At 43.8% G+C, this 24,093-nt stretch overlaps 1 protein-coding gene across 6 annotated transcripts in view, besides 2 other annotated features; it reads left to right on the top strand.

The window, feature by feature from the left end:
- The window catches only part of GLI3 (GLI family zinc finger 3), a 303,320-nt gene that overhangs the window by 16,672 nt on the left and 262,555 nt on the right, over positions 1–24,093 (top strand). Inside the window, exon 1 of one of the 6 annotated variants that reach the window (XM_047420207.1) lies at positions 9,693–9,813. The exons of 1 other annotated variant lie outside the window; for it this stretch is intronic. The gene's annotated coding sequence lies outside the window, so the exon portion shown is untranslated. 4 more of the 6 variants (XM_047420205.1, NM_000168.6, XM_047420209.1 and 1 more) reach the window with 4 other exon arrangements.
- Positions 9,663–10,644: an enhancer, noted in NCBI's record as "H3K27ac hESC enhancer chr7:42276552-42277533 (GRCh37/hg19 assembly coordinates)". NCBI's record gives its function as "activates a minimal SCP1, AML or CMV promoter by ChIP-STARR-seq in primed H9 embryonic stem cells {active_cell/tissue: H9 hESC(primed)}" and the evidence as "EXISTENCE:reporter gene assay evidence [ECO:0000049][PMID:30033119]".
- Positions 18,506–19,285: an enhancer, noted in NCBI's record as "H3K27ac-H3K4me1 hESC enhancer chr7:42267911-42268690 (GRCh37/hg19 assembly coordinates)". NCBI's record gives its function as "activates a minimal SCP1, AML or CMV promoter by ChIP-STARR-seq in naive H9 embryonic stem cells {active_cell/tissue: H9 hESC(naive)}" and the evidence as "EXISTENCE:reporter gene assay evidence [ECO:0000049][PMID:30033119]".

Below are 24,093 nucleotides of genomic sequence, written 5' to 3'. Positions count from 1 at the left end.
CTTACACGGAAGCAGAATAAGAAGCAGACGCCTGGTGGTGGACCGGAAAATGAATGGAATATTTTGCATTCTTCCTTTCTGTAACTTTGTTGGCTTTGATCCCCCTGAGATCTCAGGATGTTTACAGCTGCGGAAGAATTGCTGTCTCTCAATACACTAGACAATGACTGTACAGTGTCATGGTTAGAAGTTCTTAATCATCAGGTAGCCTGGAAACCCACACTGATCACCACATCAGTGGTGTTTGGGTTACAAGCCACAACCAGCCTCCGGCCCATACAACTGGGGGCTGGAAGAAGGACATCGGTGGTTGCAGAAAGCAACCAATTTGAGATATGGGAGTCTTTAGGAAAGGACTCGAAGGTATGCTGCTATGAGTTTATATTTTTAGTTAAAATGTACTTGTAATCGATAATAAAAATATTGAATCCCTTTTCCAGAGTGAACCACCACCTCCCAGGTTCAATGTTCAACCTTTCCCTTCTTCCTCCTGCATCTAAACACCTTGCCAACATCTGCCTCAAAGCAACATAAAACAACTGCATCTATCTCTAAACTTTGAAAAGCCAGACATTAGGCCTGCCCCTGTACAACCGGCTTAATGGAACCACCACATTCAAAGGCTGTGATTACAGACTGCCTTGCCTTGTTCAGGGTGTTGGCACATAAAAGACTGCAGTGCATATAAACCCATTCTCAGAAGGTGTCAAGGATTTCACAGACTTTTTTCAGAGAGTCCCAGCAGAAAGGATATCGTCCCTCAAAAAAAAAAAAAAAAAAAAAAAAAAAAAGATTCTATCATCCAATGAGCCTTTAACTCCCAAGGACTAAACATTTACCAACCGCCGAAAATAACAGCTTCAACAGTTTTGGGACTGCCATAAAGATATTATTTAGAGACAGGAACATAACCTTGGAGATTCCCTTGGTTGCAAGTCATGAGTCCAATGTAGTGTTTTGTTTTGTTTTGTTTTGTTTTGTTTTTCTGTATGTACAGTTCTGCTCTTTTAAAAACAATACAGCTTCATGATATGGCCAGTCATTCTTGCCCTCTTAGGAGTGTATATGCAGTGCTCAGAGACATCCTTGCCTAGTAGAAAGAAAGCATACAATTGCTAACATGTAAATAAATGAGAACAAAAAAACTTTCACATATGAGTTTATTCCCCCACATCATTCCTGCATACAGAGTATGTTGGGAGAGAGTTAAAACTGGGAAGATTGAAAAGCAGTGTCCAAACCCAGGAGTTGGGTTTGGCTGAACCCTATGAACATGTCAGGGGTGGGCAGATATCTGGGCCTGGCAGCATGACTGTCCATTCCCCTGTCAAGGGTAATGGGCATGGCATAGTCTTTCTACTCCAGGCACATGGATCTCAGGGATTTAGAGTTTATGAAATCCACAGCAGCATGTTATCGTGTGTTTGAATGCACAACTGCAGAACCACATGAGGTGGAAGTTGGTAAGGGAGGAGCTGAGAGTGAGAAGAGGGTGCCTAGCACAGTGGTTTTTCAGAGTTTCCTGCAGTGGGCCTCTGTCCAAGGCAATTCAACCCAAACTTGAGAGCAATTTTTCTGGATCTCTGAGGTGACCTGTATGCCACACAACCCTCCAGTTTCTATTTGAGAAGAATATTTAGCTTCATTTCCTTATGGTCTATCTCCCCTCATGGTTTCCTTTTTTTTTTTTCCTTTTCTTTCTTTTTTCTCTCTTTCTTTCTCTGTTTCTTTCATTTAACAAATGTTTGTTGCGATCCTATCCTGGAACTACTCTAAGTATCTTTAAAATAAGGGGTGATGAAATCAAGTTGATTGCCTATGTGCCTGGCATAGAATAAGTATTATTATATTTAATTCTCTAAATTATTTTATAAGATACATCTTTTTGTTTTGTTTTGTTTTTGTTTTTGTTTTTTGAGACAGAGTCTTGCTCTGTCACCCAGGCTGGAGTGCAGTGGTGTGACCTCAGCTCACTGCAACCTCCATCTCCCGGGTTCAAGCAATTCTCCTGCCTCAGCCTCCCTAGTAGCTGGGACTAAAGGTGCTTGCCACCAAGCCTGGCTAATTTTTTTGTATTTTTTAGTACAGGCAGGGTTTCACTGTGTTAGCCAGGATGGTCTCGAACTCCTGACCTCATGATCCACCCGCCTCAGCCTCCCAAAGTAAGCCTGGGATTACAGGCATGAGAAGGTAGATCTTAAAATTCCATTTTACCTGTGAGGAAACTGCAGCTAGGAATGGTTTTGTCATTTGCCCAAAAATATATGACTGAGAAGCGGCAAAAGTAAAATTTACTGTGATTCTGTGATTACAGGCTGTACTGTAATACTGTGATTACAGGCTTTGTTGTCAACACTGAGCTGAATCTTAAGGGCCAGGGAGCTTCCACACTGACTTGACAGCAAGGTGGATGGACTAAATACTTTCCTTCCACTATCGCCATCACTGAGATCTTCTGCAAATGGGATAAGAATGGGAAGGCCCAGTCCAGCATAAACCAGTACAGCCTTTTGTGAAGGCTCCTGGAAAGCAAGCTGGAGCTGAGTTTATGATTCTGGGACGTGAGTCATTTCCCTTGGGAAACACAAGTCTCCTTGCCCATTCCTGCTCCAGAACATGGTACAATTGACAATATTTTTAAAAGTCTCTAAAAACTCCTAAAACCTTGTCTTTAATAGAAGACCTATTGTAAAAGGTGCCTTGTCCAAGTGAAAGCCTTCTCTTTGGGCTTGAGAAATATGCAGGAGTTTAATTACTGACCAAGTCTCTCTTATTTGGGCAAGCTTGAATGAATTCTTCATGGCTGGGATCCTTCCTTGGGAAACTAACTTTGATGGCTATCTACCCAGCACCTTTCCAATCAACACTGTGATTATTTTACTTTTTTTTTTTTTAAAGGTGTTTTATTCTGACTTTCTGATGTAGCCTTCCGATAAGGCCAGAATCTGGATAATCCAGGCTAACTAACCGCTTTTTGGCCTTAATTGCCTGGCCCATACAAAGATAATTTACTCAATTCTCCACTTCATTTTTCATGTGTAGATGAAGTCTGACTGTAGTTGCTCAGGCACTATTAATTCAAGTTAACAAGCAACGAAGGCTGCAATAAATTTGTATTTCAGGCTCAACTTTGATTTTACTTACAAACTTCATACAAAAGTGCTGGTTGGCATGCCTGTCTCTGAAATGTGCTCTATAGGAAGGCACTACATGTAAACTTGTATCCTTATGTTCTAAAACATATCCAATTTTGGTAGAGCTTAAGAAGTTAGCAGAATGAATTTTTTTTCATTGTTATTTCAAATAAAAAGTAAGTGGAATATGTGTTTCTCTGGATGGTATCTACAAGAAACTAATTTCTCTTGGGGGAGAAATTGGACTCCCAAGAACCCTCTGTAAGAAATAGTCTCCTAAAATAATCTGGTGCCTTTGTATATTTCAGTAGAAAGAACTAGTCAAAATCTGCTGGGTGCAGTGGCTTTCGCCTGTAATCCCAGCACTTTGGGAGGCCAAGGTGGGCAGATCACCTGAGGTCAGAAGTTCGAGACCAGCCTGGCCAACATGGTAAAACCCCGTCTCTACTAAAAATATAAAAATTAGCTGGGTGTGGTGGCACGTGCCTGTAATCCCAGCTACTCGGGAGGCTGAGGCAGGAAAATTGGTTGAACCCGGGAGGTGGAAGTTTCAGTGAGTGGAGATTGCACCACTACCCTCCAGCCTGGGCAACAGAGCAAGACTCTGTCTCAAACAACAACAACAACAACAAAAGAATGAGTCAAAATCAATCACACTTTCACAGGTGAGGCAGAGCACAGACATAAATCTCCACATCTCAAGCATCCTACTTACTGTGTGTGAAAACGTTGTGAATGTTAACATGGGGCTCAGCTGGTTTAAAAAAAGTAGAGAGAAAGAAGAAACTTGCTTTCCTTGGCATCTACTAATCCGGATAGTAGATCCACTCCTTTATTTACACCATCTCACTTTCTTTTTAAATCACAATGACTCTGTGAGATGAATATCGTTATCTCCAATTCACAGATGGGCAAACTGAGTGAATTGATTTAGCAAAGTGACAAAGCTAGTAATGATGGAGAAATGATTTAAATCCAGGCCTGTTCTCTTTTATATGCATCTGATCAATATTAAAGCACCAAAGAAGTGAGGCTACTAGTCACTATCATAAAAAGCAGAACTGTATGCTACACACAATGGACAAAGAGAGAGCTACAGGTGGAGAGATAGACAAACTCCCACCTACCAAATTCTCTGTATAATTTGTGCTACTTTTCCTAGTCATGCTGGACCATGAAAGGGATGCTAGAGTAACAAAGGTATAGAAACCATCACTGGCCCTTGGCTCCACGCTATTGGAATCTTGTGCCTCCGAGATCCTATGTCCTTCCTTTCCCTTGCTAGGAGTCTCTTTGGTGTTCACTAAAGTTCTCGCATGGACACTGTAAGCTCTTTACCAGTTCACCTGGTCTTGACTGGCTTTGCTGTAGTTTTTTCTGGAAGGTGATCATTTTTCCTGTTATCATTCATGTTAACCTCTCCCTCTGATCTCAGAGCTCCTCCTGTGAATACCACAGAGGTTGGGGAATGCCCTTTTCCCAGGGGTACTGTGGTTCCCAAGCTCATGACCACTGCTTCTTGTCTTTCCTTGAAATATCCCAAACTCTCCATTATATTCCCAGGTGGGTGGCCCCCATTTTCTCCATCTCTTTTGTAACAAAATAGAGGAGGTTGTATTCACCAAAATTCCTCATAAGAATTCCTTATAGTTTTTGGAAAAAAATAAATTCACAAGCTTCTAGGTGTGGGGACAAGGTGACTAGGGGTGAAACTTAAAAGACAAGATCAACTAGTACAAGATGCTGTAAACCATCTTCTAAGGAAGATGGGTCCTGCTAACTGGAGGGCTCTTTGTTTTTCTGCATACTGGAATCTCTCAGAACACAAGGTTTGGCAGGACAGATATGAATTGCTCTGCCTAAGGGAAGAGAAGTCAGTGGGGTTGGGCACTGAATAGAAGGACAGTGTAAATAAAAATATCCCTACGGGGGCATGACTAGAGAAGGACAAAGGACAGACATTCTAGTGGGGAATGTCGGAGCTATTTGCTGTGATGTGTTTGATGTCACATCCTCTCCTTTATAGGCTGTTTTCGGAAAGATTTGGTAAAACCTGCAGTTTATGTAAGTGGATTGTTTAGGGCAAAGGTAGCAAACCTACGTTTCCAGGAGTGAGGCAAGTTATGTAAACAAGTGATGCTGCAAGTATAAGGCTGTAGGGAGTGGTAGCGACTGTGGCCAAATGAGGAGTACAGGCTTCACCTGAAGGCATGCAAAATTTACTGGTGCATATCAAATTAACATGCATTGGCAGATGACATTTGCCCTACAGACCACTGCTTGTTACCCAGCTTTAAGAAAACTCAAAGAAAGACAGAACATTGCTGCCAGGTGGATAAGAGATGGTCATGAAGGTAGTGGAGAGGCCTCAGAGGGATAGAAGAGACAGGTGAAACCACCAGGTCACATAAATAAGTTCCTAGGGAAGGAAGGAGAGACCTCAAGAAAACACTGGTTACTGAAGTGTTTGGTTTGAGACAACTGAGAGAAAATTATTTTATTTAGAAAAAGCGGGATACAGAAAATCATCTCTAGGCTGCCTAAATGATGAGTAAAATCCACCATGCTCACCTCATGCCCGCTGTGAGCGAGTTTCCAGAAGAGCAGGCAAGGATCTGAGTATAGGGTATGGGTCAATGTCACACAGCATCCACAGGGGCTCTGAAATTTGCAGAAATCCAAAGAGAGGGTTTTAGATCTTCCCAACTTGTGGGATTGGCGGAGGTCCAAGCCAATTATAGCTACATCTCCAAGGTGAAGAGGGACACAGCAGACATCTGGGTTACATTTATAATCCCAATGTTCCAGGAAGATGGAAGAACAAGTTACGCGGGTGCTGAGTGAGAGACCCCAAGAAGGGCCCCGTGTGCGATGCACTTAAAAGTATTCTCCTTCCTGGCAGCTGGCCAGTCAGCGTGGGGAGGCTCAGGCCCAACCACTCTTCACCAGAGTGTTTCCTTTCCCAAGGCACTCCTGAGAGATTCATGTGGCCAGGGATCTACCTTTGTTCCCTAGTACTTTCCTTACATGCAGGCTGGCTGGCAAAGTGTGTGCAGAACACGCAAAATCACCAGGACCCAGGAAAGCAGAGTGGGCAGGAGGAAACCTAGAGAGGTGAGCCTGGCCAAGGGGAATATCGGATCCACTTGGGAAAGGTCATTATTTTCTGGGAATGCAAACTCTCAGATTGATTATGAAAATGCAGCTGCCTCTGGCCACCTTCCTCGGTTGCCTAAAGAAACTTTGTATGAAGTGTGAATAAAGTGGAGCCGAAAGATGAAAACAGAACCCAGTAGACGTTATTGGAGCCCCTAGATCCTGTTTTGCCTAAAGCATGCCTACATGTTTCTGGACTTTTTTGTCAATAAAAACAGCCACCCAATCCCTCTGAAGTTTAACTTAAGTCAATTGGAGGTGGAATTTTGTCCCATGCAACTTGAAGTTTATTAGTACACATGGACTATCCTCCTGGAATTTTCCAATAATTAACTGGGTGCTACTGTGCAGGGAGATGGAAGAACTGCCATGGTAAGTGAGGGGAGAAAAGTATTTGTATAACATCGGCCCATGGTAGGAATCAGAGGAGCACGTGAAGTTTGTTTCCAGGTTCATCCTTTGTTCTCTCTCTTGCGTATCCTTCATTCCTCTCCCACTATCTTTTGCAGTGTTGTTAGGAGTTGAATTATGTCCCCCAGAAGAAAATGTTGAAGTTCTAACCCTAGGAACCTCAGAATATGATCTTGGAAACAGGCTTGTTGCAGATGTAATTAGTTAAGATGAGGTCATTCTGGAGTAGGGTGGGTCTCTAACAGAATATAACTCGTGCTTTTATAAGAAGAGAAGCCAGAGACAAAGGGAGAATGCCATATGAGGACAGAGGTGGAGACTGAAAGGGAGAAGCTGCAAGCCACGGGACACCCAGATTGACAGCCACCACCAGAAGCCAGTAAGAGGCAAGGGAGAAATTTCTTTTCCAGGTTTCAGAGGGAGTGTGGCCCTGCAAGACACCTTACTTTTGGACTTCAAGCCTCTAGAAACTATAGGACAATACATGTCTGTCCTTTAAGCCATCCAGTTTTTGGTACTTTGTTACCATGGCCCTAGAAAACAAATGCAAGTATCTTCAAGTATCTCCTACTTCACTGTTGCAACAACAAGAAAGAAAGTCTGTCTTAAAAGCTTAACTATTCTGAGGACTTACTATATTAAAATTTCTTAAGATATCTGCATTTGAAAAGAGAACTGATGAGAGATGGCAATAAGTCAATCTATGATAGAATTTCAGACATCAAGGAAGGGCAGTGCACAGAATCCTGTAAGTCTCTTAGTGCTGTGTATCACTACAAACAAAGGTTGTAGCATTGTCTTTCTGGGTGTCTTTGGGTTTTTACAGATGTCTCAGGAGCAACTGCAGGAAAGGGAAAGAGAGAAAGGCTTAGGGGGATTGGGCTCCGAGACCTCACTCCAATTTCAACCATAATAACTCTTCTATATTTTGGGATTCTACGTAAGATTTAATTTGGAAAGCGTTCTGGTGTTAACACAGAGAGAAAGTCACTGCATTATGACATTATTTAACCCACACTCAGGCAAAGTGGGTTTTTTACCCCTCCACTGTTTCTGCAAAATGTGCCTACTTATATGTATGGGTTTACCATTAAAGCAGAGTTGGACACATAAGAGACACAGCATTATTCTTCCTCTTTTTTGTTTAGCTATTGTGACGGGCATAGGGGGAAAGATTAGCTGCTTTTGCTTTGTTCTTGTCTTTTAAGAACTGAAAAATCAAGATCTTCATGATTCAAAATGTGCTATAAGACTGAAGTAAGAGTCGAAATATCTAGTTTATTCTATTATTTGATGATTTATTGGCTGTCTTTCTTTGTATTTATTTTTTGCCATTGGGTGAACAGAGTAGGCTATCAGGATGTACTATTTGTATTCATGTGATTGAGGCAGAAGCAGTACATGAATACTAAAAACAATTGTAACTGATGCTGGGAGTATATAAAGGAAAGAGTGGCTTGCAATTCTCTTCAATTGTAAAAGCATAATTCTTACACACTTGTAGCCCTCTATACTTTTCCATGTATTTCTCATTGGAAACCCTCAGCCATCCTGGGAGGTACGCGACCTGGCACTCCTAACACTATCCCCTAGATGGGCTCAGAGCCTATGGAGGCTCAGAGAATCCTCCCAGGCCTGAGGCCAGTTAGTGAGCGCGGAGATGGGGCTGCCACAGGGCTTCTGAGTCTCGTGCTCTCTGCGATGAGTCAGTGGTGTTTTGTTTTTTCCTGAGCCGTGAGGTCGAGGGAAATCTTAAAACAAATGGCTAACTAGGGCCTTTAGCCCCACCTTACCTCCACCACTTCCACCATAAAACCTTAAGTCTGTCTCTGCACTTGTCATGTCATTGTGACAAGGAAGGAGTCCCAAGAAACAAACAATGAATACCACCCTCAATTTCGTTAAAAGATTCTTCAGTTAAGCATTTGAATCTCAAAATGCTCTTCAAATTCTAATAGCTCATCATTCATCCACCCACACTCTTCCTTCAGTCAAGACACTTGGCGGCAACGCCACACAAGCAACCCGGAGCTCCGGGGCACTTCTGGCTGGGTGGACCCGGCTTAACCAGAAAGAGGGGATGTTGGAATGTCACAGGGGCTTTCTTTTCTTTCTTTTTCTTCCTGTGTTTCCCCCCGAGAACTCCTTTTTTAAGTTACATGTCCAGGTTGGATATATTAAAATGACGCAGATGAACAAGGACTGGATGGTCGAGGAAGGAGGCCAAATAACTTTTACTAGCATGGGCCTCTGAAAATGAAGCAGGGACAGAGACACTTTGTAGCTCAAGGAAAAGCGGCACGTTAGAGACCAGGCTCCAAGCCTGGGGTCTTTGTTTTTGTGTCTTTTATAAAGTGGCCCATAGGGACAGCAGGCTGTGTGGTGGGAGCTCCTCCTCGCTTCGCGGATTTGGCCCCGAGGGCAGACGAGTCCGGTGGAGAGAAAAACCCTGAACTTCCAAAGGCATCATCCCGCGAGAGGGAGTTTCGGGGATGGCTTTGGGAAAATGTAAAACAAGGAGATGGGGAGCCAAGGATGGGGGGCGGTGGTAATCAGAGAAGCCTTAAAAGAATAAAGGGGAGTCCAGCCCTTGAGCAAGAGTGAGAAAGAGAGGCTGGGTGGGAGAAGATGGGAGCAGACAGGACGCAGCACGAGTGCCAGGGCGCGCATTTGGGGGGTGTCCTGGCGGTGTGGAGAGAGAAGAGAGAGGGCGCGGGTGACATCACGCCCGGGCCCCCTTCCCCTCGCCGGGTGGGTGGGGCTTCGGCGCGCCGGGAGGGCGCGGGGTCAAGTAGGGGGAAGAGGAGGAGCAGGCATGAATGTGTCTGTGTGAAGACCGGGGAGGGGCGGAGGAGGAGGAGGAGGAGGAGAAGGAGGAGGAGGAGGAGGAGGCGGCGGCGGCGGCGGCGGCGGCGGCGGAGGGCGGGGAGGGAGCGCGCGCGTGGCTCGCGGCGCCCGGGCTCCCCCCCAGCCCCCGACCCCGGCCCGCGACGCGCCGCCTCCCAGCCGCCGCCGCCCGCCTCGCAGCTGGGACCCACTCCGGGCTTGGGGACCCGGCGGGCGGGAGAAGCGGGGGCTCCCGGCGCGGCCTGGAAGGAGCGAGAAAGCAAAAGTAAGGCGAGCAGCACTCCAAGTTTTCCCAACTTCGCCCCCTGCGGCGGCAGGCGTCCTGCTGCTCAGCGCGTCCCCTCCGAGCCCGAGAGTGGCTGAAAGAAAAGGGACTGGGCGGGGGCCGGGGCGGAGGAAGAGAGAGTGCGAGGGAGCGAGGAGAGTCCGGCAACATCTGTTAAAACTTGGGGGAGGAGGAGCGCGGGGAGGAGGAGGAAGAGGAGGAGAGAAGGGAAGGAGGGAGCGCGCGGGAGGGGAGCGCGGAGCCGAGGGACAACTTTTCCACCCCGTGAGTAGTGCAGGCGGTGCCAGGTCGGGGCGGGGGGCTTCTCCACCCAGCACGGGGCACCAGGCCGGGATGGGACCTTTTTCCAGAAAGTCGATTGGATGCCAGGAGAGGCGTACGGCTGGGGGTTTCTTTCTTTCTCTTTCCCCTCCCTCCCGCGGTTGAACCAAATCAGAACTGTCACTCAGGGCTTGTGAGTCAGAAGGGATCGGATTACACGATCCCCGAAACTGATGCCGGAGCTGCACGAGCGGGAGGGAGCGGGCAGGGGCAGCGCCACCGGCGCGCTCGCACACTCGCACTCGCGCACACCCGCCGCTCCCACTCACCCGCGCCGCTCTCCCGCCTTCCCCGCGCGCCCCGCGGCCGCCCGCGCCGCACCATGCCCGCGGCGGGCGCACCCCGCGCCCAGCCCGGCCGCTCGCGGTAGCCGTAGCCGCCCGCGGCCGCGCGGAGCGGGGAGCCGCCAGCCTGCGCCCCGTCCGCGGGTCTATGGGAAGTTCGGGGACTTGACAGCCGCTGCCGCCGCAGGTACGTCCCGCTCGAAGTTCTTTGTTTCGCGGACCCCGCAGCCCGCTCCTGCGGCCGCGCCCGCGCCTCCGGGGCCAGAGGTGGTCCCCAGCGTGGGGACGGGATGGAGTGAAAATGGCTGTCAAAAGGCGCCCAGATTTAGAGAGCCGCCGGTGAGGCGTCCGAGCAAGGCTTGCATTCGCTCCCTCCTCCTGGAAGGTCCTTTCCGAAGAGTCCGACCCGCGGACCGGCCGGAGACGGATTGGAGAATTTCACCTCCCGGAGGGGGGACGAAGTTTGCCGCAGTGGTGGCGGCGCCCCTCGCCTCCGCCCCCATCCAAAGGGTTCAGAAGAACTCCGCGAGCCCCGCACGCGCCTGGCTCCTTCCTTTGCGCGGTGGCGCTCTACGGCTCGGGCTTCGGGCGCGCACGGCGCTCGGGATGGGCGGAAGGAGGCGGGAGGCATGGTGGGTGCGCGCGGGGACCTCCGCCGCGGGGGCCGCCGCCGCTGGGGCTTCTCCAGCCCGGGCTATGCTTCGGAGGGCGGGGGTGTGGTGTGAGCGGATGGAGAGAGGCGCGCCTTCGTCGTCATAGAGGAAAAGTGAAAGTTGTACCATCTGTATATGATTTGGGATTCTCTTATTTCTTTTCCTTTCCAGGGGCAGCGCGCACAGACACACAAAGTAACCGTGGTCCATGCAATAATCATTTAAGGTGCCGCGTTTACACAGAGCAGCAGGGGACAGTTACTTTCTTGAGTAGCAGCGGGAAAACGGGCGGGAGAAGGCAGAGAGGGTGTAAATATTGATCCCAAACTTGCAGAGTTTGTGAAGCGACTTTTAAGCAGATTGTCCGAAGCGGACGCTCCACCCCGCACCCGGCCTTTTATCCTTTCCTGAACTTTGTGCTCCTGTCCCCCATTGCACCTCCTTCTGTAAGATGCCGTCCCCCGAGAGGCGCTGCACCCCAGGCTTCCCTGCCTGACCCCGCGTGGAAAGAGGATTAAGGAGGCTCCCTCCGCCGCTGGTCATCCTGCCCCAACTTCTCATCTCCCCAGTGCAGACTGCCGGGTAGATTCTGGCCTTGGGTACAGTGCTCATGGCCCTCTGCCAGTTTATATGTACATATATTTATGTAAAACATTTTCTCCCAGCTCTTTGCCAGCTGTTCCACATTTTCCAGCTGCCACTTCAGTTTGAAATGATGGACTGTCTGCGTCTCCAAGTCAAAGAACCCTTTAGTCAAAGGTATGGAGGGCCGGCCGCTGTGCAAATACATGGCAGTGCCATTAGCCGGGCTGGTATTATTAGTTCTAAAAAATACCTCCTGCTCCCCTTTTCCTCTCCTCCCTCTTCTCTCCAGTTAGGCTTTCCAGAGCACAGTATATACACTTTGCTGAAAATTCGAGTAATTAGGCCTTTCCCTCTTAAATGTGATTTTTGTACAGAATTTGGATGAGGCCGTTTTTTTAGATCCCTGAAATATGTGTCTGGTGGAAATAAATTAACTTTTAAAAATAAAAGAGTTTCAGCTTGAGCGCATTGGGCATGGCGGGTGGGGGGCCTGCACCCTGGCCGTCTGAAATGAGCTCTTTTCAGTCTATTTAAGGCAGGAACCATTCATCCTCCCCATGCTACACTTTTTGTGTTGTTTGATGTCTTAGCATATTATAGACCGAAATCTACAAGAATTGACCTAAAGTATTAATTTTGAGTATTTATGTAATTGCTCGGTAATTTTGAATAGGTGCCTTATTGATTGATTCCTGTAATTATTTCATTTAGGTTTTAGATTAAAAATTAATAGTAGTCTGACAGTTTCTTAATTACATGTGTCAAGATTCTTTTGAAGGAGGAAAATGCTATGTTTTAAAATAGTGAAATAGCCTCAAAATCTCTTAATTTTTCTAAAGCAGAACAGTATTTCAGTTGAGGGGATATATTAAAGCTGCCGGGACTGGTTTTAACAATGTAAACTCTGTGAAGTATCTGAAGAATTTGTTTATGTTAGGAAATATTGGTCTTAACGACCTGGTACACAAACACTTTGGCCAGTTAAACTATATTCAAACCTAAAACAAACATGAAATAACATTTAAATTAGTTGTAATAGCATGCTTATACAGAGTAGAGAGTTTATTTTATACTAAAAGCTATTTAATTAGAAACTCCCCGCCTAAGGGGAGATCCTTTCAGGGTATGCAATTCTTAAAGTCAGCCTAGGGAAGCTTTGGTTTAAGATGCATGAATGAGTCCAATGTGAGAGGTGTCTAGTGAAATTTCACACAAGCAGAAACACTTTAAAGATATAGATTGTATTATTGTTAGTAGGCTGGTAGGTCCAACTCAGATGCCTACCAATTCCCAGTGCCTTTAACATGCTTGTGTTCCTTGACTGAACCTTGATATAAACACATTTCTATTGTATATCTAATTTGCAAAGGACCATAGACAGAAATGAGAAAATTCAATACTGATGAAAAATGGCTCTGTAGAGTTATTTCATTAATTATTTAATGAAAGAATTGTTAATTTATCAATTCGATGTGCAAGCCTAAAAGTTGGACTTTCCTTTGTTTCTTGGCCAGTGAAGTTTCCTTAATTACCTGCATGCTGTAAGCATTTCAGACTTCCTCTGTGCTTAGCCATTTAGAGGTCCTTCCTCCTATGTAAGGTATCCTGCTTACTGAGACCTCTTCTCCCCCTCCATTTTTTGAGGATAGAGTTTGGGAGCTTATGAAAAGAAACAATTTAATGATCATTGTTGCATGCACTCACTTACATGGAGACAGTAATGTACTAAGAAAAACCAGTCTTGAAGGAAAAGTGAATCAATGAGTCATGAAATCCTCAAGAAAACCTTAGCAATGGAATGTTAATGCTTTTAGACTATAGTAGATTATCTTAAAAGTCAGACTTTTCTTCTTTATGCAATTGTTGTAAATCCCCAGCTAAAGAATTCTTTGAAGGAGGTTTTAGTTTTGCTGGCATTCATATTCTGAGGTCGGTCTGATTTGTTTTGGAAGATTCAGTAAATTTTCTGCCAACTTATATCATGAGAGGCAATTAAAATGCTGAAATGACTTTATAGGACACACACACACATACACACACGTTTGTTAAACAAAAGGTTCCACTCTAATAATGACTTCAGGTTGTCTTTTCATTAAAGCCTAGGAGAAGATACTGCCCTTCTCTTCACGTTGTCATTTTTCTAGATGAAAATTGATCTGTTTCTGGTTTCAAAGCAAATAAAGGGAGACAGAATAAACAACAACAGGGCAGGGGGTACTGCTGCAAACTTTTTCAAGTATTTTCAGTGTATTTTTCATCTTTACTTTTATTTGATGGGCCTGTGAAATAGAGCTGTAGACTGGCGAAGACTTTAAATGAAATTTCACACTTTGATGATTTTTTTTAAACTTTGATATATTGACAGCAAAAGGAGCTGCAAAGCTTTTATATAACTTGAGCAGTAACGCCAAGCAGCAGTCAAACGTCTCTATGCATTTGTGTTTAACTGCAGAAGAAAAACATGTCCATGGGCAGTGGAGGTTCTTATCAACCCCCTAATCCCAGATCCCAGCAAACCTTGAGGGCATGCCTCAGATCTTGCTGAAATCACTGTAGACTCTCACAGTTTGCAGATTAAATATGCTATGTGTTCCTGGCTCCAGCAACAGTTTTATGAGCTCACTAAGCTTCCTGTTTTAAGATCCTTTTCTTAAGTTTTTAGGAGCTGCTAAAGGCAATGCTGTCTGGAGTAAGTGGTACTTGTTAATTTAGAGCCACTTTAGATATTTCATTCTCTTTTTTAAAAATTGCCATAATTATTATTTTTAAATTGAAAGGCCAGTCACTCCAGGGAGAGGGAGGAGAGCTGTTTGAAAGAAATTGAATGTTAAATGTGTTTGGAAGTACATTTGATCGCAAACTTTACATGGTGTCTCAATTGTTTTATGGCACTTTTCTTTTGCCTGGCCCCTGAAAATGAGAGACTTTTTCCACTTGTAATTCTAAATGCGCTATATTTGAGTGCCAAATTTCTTCACTACTCATTACCTCTGTGAGTGTCTTTTGGTTTTTTTAAATGTGAAAGTGTTTTTTGTTCTGTGTGTATATATTTCAACCCGACAAAATGTCTCAGAAAATCTATGGCCTTCTAAAGAAGCTGAATGAAAAAGCCATTACATAGTTAATAAGGTGGCTTTGGAACATTTCAGCCCCCTCCTGAAAGGCAATATTGTGTTGAGCTCCACATCTGCATCTGTGGTATCTATAGTTGTACTCTCATATATGGCACTTCTGCATTTTGCATAGGAGTCATAATTAAAAAAGAAAATACTTACATCATTGTCCAACAACATGTCATATAATTCCCAAGAGAACGCTAGCCAGTTTTGTGCTTAAAGGTTATTCAATGAATGAAATTGTGAAAGCCCATTTGTCAAAGTACTGCATGGTTTCTGTTAGTGTTCAAGCCCCAAATTCATTGTCTGCCCGGGCCCAGCCATTAGTCATCAGTGTATTAGTGCTGCCTTCAGGCCATGCTGCCCAGCACTTCTTCACACCATTATAGCTTTGAAAGTGTACTCTGTCGACTTGTAGAATTACTGCTCTGATTTCCGCTTGACTGGGTTTGAGGTAAGTCCCCTCCCTACCTTCTAGCTGACTGTAATCCTTGCTTTCTTTTAAAGCTCCTTTCCAGAGATTTAGGGGAAAACTTTCTTAAGGGCCGTGTTGGCATCATACTGTGGTTTTGTTGTGGCATGCACTGTACATATAAATTGTACCTGCAGTAAATTGGATTGACTGCTGGCCTGAAACAGCTAGAGGGGCTTTTCTTTTCTTTTTTAAGAGGGGAGGGGGCTAGGTGGTGGGGGAGGGTGGCACAGGAGTACATTTTGACCACAAGCATTTGATTGTGTACTTCTATAATTCTTATGCCACAAAATTAAATTAATTAAGTAATGGGGGATAAGTGCACTTTTACTTAAATCTTTATTGGAGTAACTTCAGAAGGTAGTGTGACATTATATTGCTTATTTTCATGTGGAAATTTTTAACTTTTGCTACTTTAACTTTTTTTTTTTTTTGAAGATTGCATGAAATGCCTAGGAAGGCTCCAGAGTGCTTTACATTACAAACTATTGATTTGTACAAAGAGAGACTGAAAACTCACCATTTAGATGAAAGATAAGTTTCAAATTGCAGTAATGAAGGACTGAGATAGTTAAGCCCTATTATTGATTTCATTTTGTGATATTTTTAAAAAGAATGATTCAGTCTGAAGAAAGTTAGCAGTGTGTAGAGAAATTTCATCCAGCAGCTTAAGATTGAAGCCTTAATGACTCTGATGTATGGAAACCTGGAATCCAGTGGCCAGACGTGTGGAGCAGGCCATGCCACTTCAGGACAGTGTCTGCTGTTTGAACTGTGGATACTACAATGAAATTCCATATCAGAGAGTTTCATTGAGAGGGTGTGTAGTTTGGTGTAGGTTACACTGGCAGTTTTGTACATGCAAGGCAGAAAAATAAGACAGCTAAAGAATTCTGTCTGTGAACAAGCAAAGTTTATAGGGTAAGTGGACCATGGGGTAATTTTTACTGGATAATCCTTAATTATAAATGCTTAAATTCTGAAAGTATTGCTTTTAAATCTGCAATTAAGAATCAAGGATCAAAAGTTTAAAAGTTGGGAGGATAAAATATGGTAAGTAGTACTTCACAAAAAAATGTTAAATACCTTTGGGATAGCTGTAGATGATTTTAACATGCAACAGGTTATTGGTCTAATATTTGTGATGGTTTAAAAGTAAATTACTATTCATGGAACATACACTCTACTCCCTTATACTCCCTTAAGCCTTACTGTAAAGACACACATGATTCTAAGAAACCAAAGCTACACAAGTTCTATAAGAATAATTAAAGTTTTTTCTTCTGAAAATGTGTGAAAACTTTTAATTCCTATAAGCCTCAGGGAAGCGAGACAAGGGACACATCTGATCAGTCATGATATTTTTGTGATATATGTGGATTTAAGAGGAATACAGTTTTCATGAGCTTAGCTGATCTATAGACTGATAACTGACTTCCAGATCTCCTTCTCTGTCTGAGAAGGATTGCCTGTATCCAGCTAACCCCGTAGAAAGTGGGGGTGCCAGTGTGCTGCACATTATTGCTCATTTTTTAATGGCACCTGCTATGCATGCTGCTTCCTGCAGTGCCTAACCAAGGCACGTGGGACTCATAGTTTTACAGAACTGAGAAATGGTAACAAGTATTAGATGGAGACCTCATACTCCCCTCAAATGTTTCTCATCAAGTACTTCTGGCAACAGGGGAAGAGTAGCTGATGATCTTTTCTTTTAAATACAAATGGCAGAAAAGTAAAACTGGCTCACAGAAATGTTGTTTGTGATTTTAACTGCAGTAGCAATGATTACTTTCATGTCAAATAAGCTTTTCAGTGGTTGAAGTTAAATATATGGATTTCTTAAAAGTTTAGATAGTGTTAATTTACCAAAACCAAATTCACTTAATCCATAGCCAGGCAATTATTTCCCCTTAGAGTAATTTAGTTCCCCTTGGAGTAATTCCATTTGGGTATGTCTGTCATGAATACTGCTTATCTGTGATTAGGAGCATCAGAAATGTAGGAAAGAAAGATTGAAGACACTAGGCAGTGGATTTGGGGAACCCTGAGCTACCAAATGGCAAAGCGGACAGATAGAAGCTTTCCTATTTGGAGTTAAGATTCTAGGCTTTCCTGATTATGGAAAAATAATCATATATACAGGTAAAATAATTATACATGAAAAAATGGTTAAAAATTAATGAAGATTTCATTAAGAACTTATGAAGTTGGGCTTTCCACCCCCCCCCCCCCCGCCCAACCCTTGCAGAAAAAGGCAACACAGACAGGGAAGGGAGAGGAAATGAAGCCTTAGGAATCCTGGGAACTGCTAGAGTGTCACAAAGGTTATGCATATCTAATTGATTTTGCCCTCAGAAGATATTTTGAACACAAGGAAACATCAACCACATTAAAAACCTATAAGAGGTTTTCTGTGGTGCATGAATACATGAAATCCAATGAAATGTTTAAAATTCCCTGCATTTTGCTCATTGAAACTCAGACTATTTCTCACTTCCAGAATTGATCAAAAAGTTCAAATCAACATTAGTTTGTACTTCTTGATTCTGAAAAAAAAATTCTCTTTCTAAAGGATTTATTTATTTTTGAGAAATGGGTTATTAAATAGCTACAGGGAGGTACATATCTTTAATAGTAGTTTTACCTGGATGGTTAATCCGGGAGTAGCATCTTGAAGTAGCAGTTGATCTACTAGTAATATAAGTATGAGAGCAATGTCACTCTTCAGTGCTACAGGGTAGGTTGCCTCAAAAATCCTTATGACAAGCTGCTTTCTTCTGGATATTTAAAACAGCAAATCAAGATTATTCAGCTTATGAAAATACAGGCAGGTGTAAATAAATGTTATTTCTCTGGAGGAAAACCTTCTTCCACTGGAGTAATAGTTCCCTAAACTACACGGAATAATTTCTCACTTAAGGCTGAGCCATGGTGCTGTTAATAGCACTGCCTCGCCTGGAATGTCTTCTGTTTCTGATCTCTTATTGCCAGTAGCTGTTTTAACCTATCAGAAACAGATCGGGTTATCATTAAATAGGCTTTTAACTTAGTTGTTTTAAATCTTGAAATACACTAAGAAAAAAAAGAGAAGAGAGTTTTTGCCCAAGTTTAGGCAACTTAAACCAACTGGCTTAGGGAAATAAATGAAGTAGTCTGCTGTTCAGGGAGGATGCACTATCATGATTGAAGGATGCTGTTCGACTTCACCCTACATTAGAAAGTTGTTTTATTCACTTCAAACATCATTTTAAACGTTGGCTTTGGCATGGGTGCTTTATTTTTAAACATTTTAGTGTTTAAACGATAAAGGAATCCTGCTCCCATGGGGGTTAGAGGTTTCACTGCAGAGACTTGAAAGGAGAAAAGCTAATTTTTTCTCACGTTCCCACACTTGTGACTTTTCATATTTTCTATTTACTACAGAAAGCCTCTGGTTGTTGAGGTTGAACATTGGGACTCCACTCAGGGCCTCCCTGAGCTCAAGACAATGAGGCGATGTGTCTGTCTTAGCCATTCACAGCACTTGAATCTATGTATGGCAGCTAATGAAGAAAAACACATTGGGGGCCAGGTTCATAGAAGGTGAATTCGACGTTTTGTGAGCGAAGCACACACCTATTGGTTTTGTGAAGGCTTTTCAAGGGATCCCCAATGTTTTATTATAATGCGACACTCAGGGTGGTTGCATTGCAAAGTACCTGGAAGGTTGCAGCTCCCTGAATTCAGCCAGTTAAAAGAGCCCTCTGAACGCAACCAGGGCCGGCCCTTGCCAGTGTTTGCTGGAAATTTGGCTGGGCCAACTGTAGAGTTTGCAAATGCCCGTGAATATTCCGAGGAGCAGGGTGACCACTCTGATACGCCTTGATACAGACCGCTTCTCTGCACTGGAGGGAGACTGCCAGGCGCTGCTGGCGCTGGAGCTCACCTCCCCACCCCCACATGGCCCCCAGCCCTTTTTTCACTTTTCCCGCGGCCTGGCTGGCGGAGATGCATTGTCTCCCAAAGCCAGCTTCAGAAATGCGGATCAAAGCCGGGCCTGGGAGCACCCCTTCTGCCCCCAGACACCCAGAGCCGTCTCTGAGCAATCCAGCATGTTCTGTTTGCTGGCGCGCTGACTGGGGCGCGCCGGGGCCGGGAGAACTCGGCGTGGACTTCCCCGCGCTGATGTAATGATGATGGATGCGGCGACGCGGCTGCAGACAGCGCTGCGCGGGCCCGGCGCGCCCGCTAATGAACCCACCGCGCCGCCGCCGCGGCCTGGGACCTCGGGCAGGGGACGCAGGCGCGGGCAAAAGTGGTGAAAGGCGTGAAAAACATCCCTTGCCACCGTCGGAGGAAACCAGAACCTGAAGGGAACTCGACAGGAAAGCGCAGAGAAAGAGCGAGCTTTCAAACAAAATTGGCCATACCCGTACAACCTGAGCAAAACAATTACCATAATCAATGGGGACTCGCCTTTGTAATGGTGAAAGTTTCTGTTTGGGTTTCCACTGGTCCCCCGCCCCTTGCAGGTCTAAGTGACGACTCTAAAGAGGACGACTTGAGGCGTCTGTGTGCAAGTGCTGTTTAATATGTAGGTCCCGGCAAGAATTCGCCAAGGTGGTAAAGGTTGCGGTTCTCTTGCTCGCTTTCTGTTCTCTTGCTTACTTTCAAATGCAGACGTGCACTACAGCGTCACCAGGTCAGTGGCTCCAGGAAGCTTTAAATGCCTTGTGTTGTAAGAGGTTGACGCAGGTTCAGATTTATAATTTAGAAAGAAAAGACCCACCTGCAGGCAGGTTGCAAATAGGAGACGGATTAGATTTAAAATAGGGTCTGGAATTAATTGTGCCCTGGGTTTAGGCCTCGGGGAAATTACAAAAGGTTCAGGGATAGTTGAGTGGGAAAAAGCCTTGACTGTTTGCTTTCAGGAAGGAATGTTTATCCCTCCTTTTACCTATGAAACTTCAAGCTTTAGGAAGGATATACCATTAGAGCAATTTTCCTTGCGTTGCTTTTTTTTTTTTTCTTCACCGAGCTCCTGGGACTCAAACATCAGCTACAAACATTTTTCCCCTTAAGCATGAAAAGTCAAGGGGCATGCCAGCAAATCTTGCATGTAATGTTTCAGTGGTGAAAGGGATTGAAGGAGAACAGTGTGGAGTCGTAAGCAAGGAAACTATGTCGGGGGAAAAAGTATCATTTCATTCACATCTGAAAAACAGTGGCATGTTTTCCTCAGGGAAAAGTCTTTGAAGTGAAGCAGAACTTAACGTTTTCCCTTGATGCTTAAGTTCTAAATAAATTATACTTCATTATTTTTTAAACTCCAGGTTTTAAAAGTGTCGTGGAGCTACTGTCCTAGTGGTGTTTTGAGATTCCATGAGGAATTTCTACTGACCACTTCTATCCCGAATGCTTGAATGGACCAGCTCAGGAGTGACTTTCCAAGCTCCTGACTATTCCCTGAAAATTCCATCACCACAACTCAAAGCGGCCACCTTTTGCCGCTCACTGACTCTTCACCCACAGTTTGATGAGGTGTGGGCGTCTAGAATGTTAAACTTTCTTCTTTATAACTGACAGGGACAAAGTTGTAAAATAAGCTGATATAATTTATAGGAGTGTACAGGAAGCAGATGTCTGATTTGGCACATTGCCATCTTTATAGCCCAGTTCCAAGCATAAACCACACTTTTAAATAATTAGGTACTAACTAATGAGATCCAAAAATAAGTTGTCAAAATAGAAGGGGGTAGATTGTTGAGTGACCAAGGGCCTATTTTTAAAAAAATCCATTTCAGACGGGGGTAGGAATTAGTATTCTTTAAGACCATTAATTAGTGTGATTTCAGTCAGTGCCTGGAGCTTTACCTCTTCTCACTTGAGCCTCTCTCTATGGTGATGAGCATTGGGAGGGTTTTATTGCTTTGTTAAAATAAAGTCCTTTGCCTTGGGGGAAAAACCAACAACTCCACAAAAACCAGGTTTGTCAAGGAATTTTGGGAACTTGTCTCCTGATTCCTATTAATTAGCACCCTCTGCTAAGGAAGATACTTAGTTCTTACTAGGAATCCCATCTCTGAATGGGTTTTTTTCTGGTGCATTTGCATGTTTCAGTGTGCAGTTTTAACGTTGTAGACTCTACTCAAATACAGCCAATAAAACTGTTATGTGTGTGTCGAAGGGAACAATTATAGCATAGTAAATTCTTGCTTATCCCAATGGCTAAGAATGGAGTGTTTGGATCAATTAAATATTTCTGCTAAAGTTTTTAGTTTTTATAGAATTTGCCAGTTTTCAACGAAACACTGAATATGAAAAGAAAATGTATGTAGCTAAACCAGTGGTGATTGAAATTCAAGACGCTGCAGAGTCCTGTAAGTCACAGGGTCATTGATGCGATCATTTATGTACTCAGTAAACATTCTTACGTGAACTAAGTGCTGGGAAAGTAGAAGCCTTGTCCTCATGGAGCATACAGCCTGGAAAGGGGAGGTGGATGTTCAGCACAGACTTTTCCAGATGAAGGAGAGTTTATCATTGTGATGGGTGCTAGGATAGGTTTGTGTAGGGTGTTAGAATTCAGGATTCTAGAGTGCAGTTCATTCATTAGTTCATCAGGTCAGCAAAGACTTCAATGAGTATATACTGCACTGGGTATACAGCAGTGAGCAAAAATAAACGTGTAGAACAGTTGTTCAAGGCTCACGCCTGTACTCCCAGCACTTTGGGAGGCCGAGGCGGGTGGATCACCTGAGGTCAGGAGTTCGAGACCAGCCTGGCCAACATGACAAAACCTCATCTCTAGTAAAAATACAAAAAATTAGCTGGGCATGGTGGTGGGCGCCTGTAATCCCAGCTACTTGGGAGGCTGAGGCAGGAGAATCGCTTGAAGCTGGGAGGCAGAGGTTGCAGTGAGCTGAGATCACGCCATTGCACTCCAGCCTGGGCAACAGAGTGAGACTCTGTCTCAAAAGAAACAAAACCGAAAAAACAAAAACAAACAAACAAAAAAACAAGCTTTAGTGAATCTGACAATTAGTAACGCTTGCTAACATTGAGGTTCCGGGTGCCATCCTCCAAGGCAAATGCATTGCAGGAATCTGAATGCTTAGCAAGCACTGTAGAAACACTGATACAAATGGTTCTTGTACCAAGTGAGAAACAATGATGCCAATTGTATTGGATTATTCTTGTGGCATACTTTAAAGATGATATTTAAATCAATTTTCAAGGACCATTACAAAAAGTAATTATTCTGAGATTGTTAGAGCTAGAAGGGACCATCAAAGATTTCTCCTTTAAGGGTTCTCTGTCCAGATTCTTGGAAAAGCTTGGAAGGTCTGTGATCCCTTGGAAATTAAATGTATACTTTTAAGTTTAAGGGTATTTTCTGGGGAGAAGCTCTTTAACTTTTAACACCTTCTTAAGATGTTACTTCCTCCCGCCCAAAGTAAAGGTCAGATCTCACTGCCCGATTCTGTCATTTGACAGATGAGATCACTGAGGCTCAGCAACAGGTTGTTGGCGGTTGTGCACTGGCCAGCTAGCCCCAGGGGGCGCCATGCAGGTAGCCCTGCCCTTGGGACTCACGCACGGTGGCTGCACTCGGAAGGGAAATCTCAAGCCCCCTTTTCTGTTGTATAATACTTTGTCAGTGCCCTTTGAGGGGTGTCTCTGAATTTGGAGTGGATCTTACAATTGATATGTAAATTTAACTTAGTGCTTCTTTTTTCTTTTTTATTCTACAAAAGCTGTTCTTAAATAACTTGTGTGTTTTACAATGAATGACACTGGATAATCTCAGAAAAGAGATGGAAGTGAGTGGAAGAGCCGGTGCTACAGTGTGCCATGTGGCCTCTGGTTCTTAAGCATTCTAGTTACTTGAATTCCAGATCAAGGAGGAATTTATTATACAATGAAGAGCTTGCAGTTCCCTTGCAAATATGTGTTAAAGTAGACTGAAAATATTTTATCTTGTATTTTAACTTTTAGTTGGTCAAGCAGTTGCTTATTTCATTTCACTAACCACTGCTGTGATTGAGGATGTCGACATTTACTAAATGTAGAAAAATAAGCAAGATGGCCAGACCTAAGAAATGCTTTCCATGAATGTTGCAATCTAGATAACTTGAAGAAAACATGCTAGAGAGGGTACTTTTCCTCTTTTCTTGTATTCTTTGTAGGTGTAGAACATGACTGCAAAAAGGAACATGAACCAGAGTGAAAATTGATGAATGATGAGTTAGGGCGATTATCACATGAATGAAGCCAGTGAAAGACAGACCTACTGAACCTGCCTTTAGCTGAGTTTTGATATTTCCTAAGTGAGCCCAGTCTTTGCTAAGGCACCTTTCAACTTTTCCATGTGGAATCAAGAGCGTGTTGTTCTATTACCTTTGTCTTAAAAGTGTAACTTAAATGAACTGAAATATTCTCATGCTTTAAAGAGGTTAAAGAGTATAGCTTACCAGAATGAATTAGGATTAAGAGGTATATTGCAATTCAGATATCTTTATGAAAGAGGCAAAAATCACTGACTACTTGGCCTGAATTATCCTCTGATTCAGAATTTGGAGTAGGCCTTCGATGTTAGAAATTGTCGGACTCTCTTTAAAACATCTAATTAATAATTAAAAACCTTCCCTCCCTTTGGAATTTGTTCAAATGCCCCTTCCTGTAAAGTTGGCCACCTGAAGAGACATTTGCAGACGTGGCTTTAAAAAGTAATGTGACACTTGTTTCACATGATAGACACAGTTGCAAATTGAGATTTTTATACCGTTTGATACCAAACGCTCAGTAGGGATTTGGGAAAAGTACCATGTTATGGGCATTTCCCTCGG

The sequence above is a fragment of the Homo sapiens genome, chromosome 7 (assembly GCF_000001405.40).
Source record: "Homo sapiens chromosome 7, GRCh38.p14 Primary Assembly".
NCBI classification, from domain to species: domain Eukaryota; kingdom Metazoa; phylum Chordata; class Mammalia; order Primates; family Hominidae; genus Homo; species Homo sapiens.
Note: the sequence above shows the minus strand (reverse complement) of the source record. Positions and strands in the feature narration are given on the sequence as shown.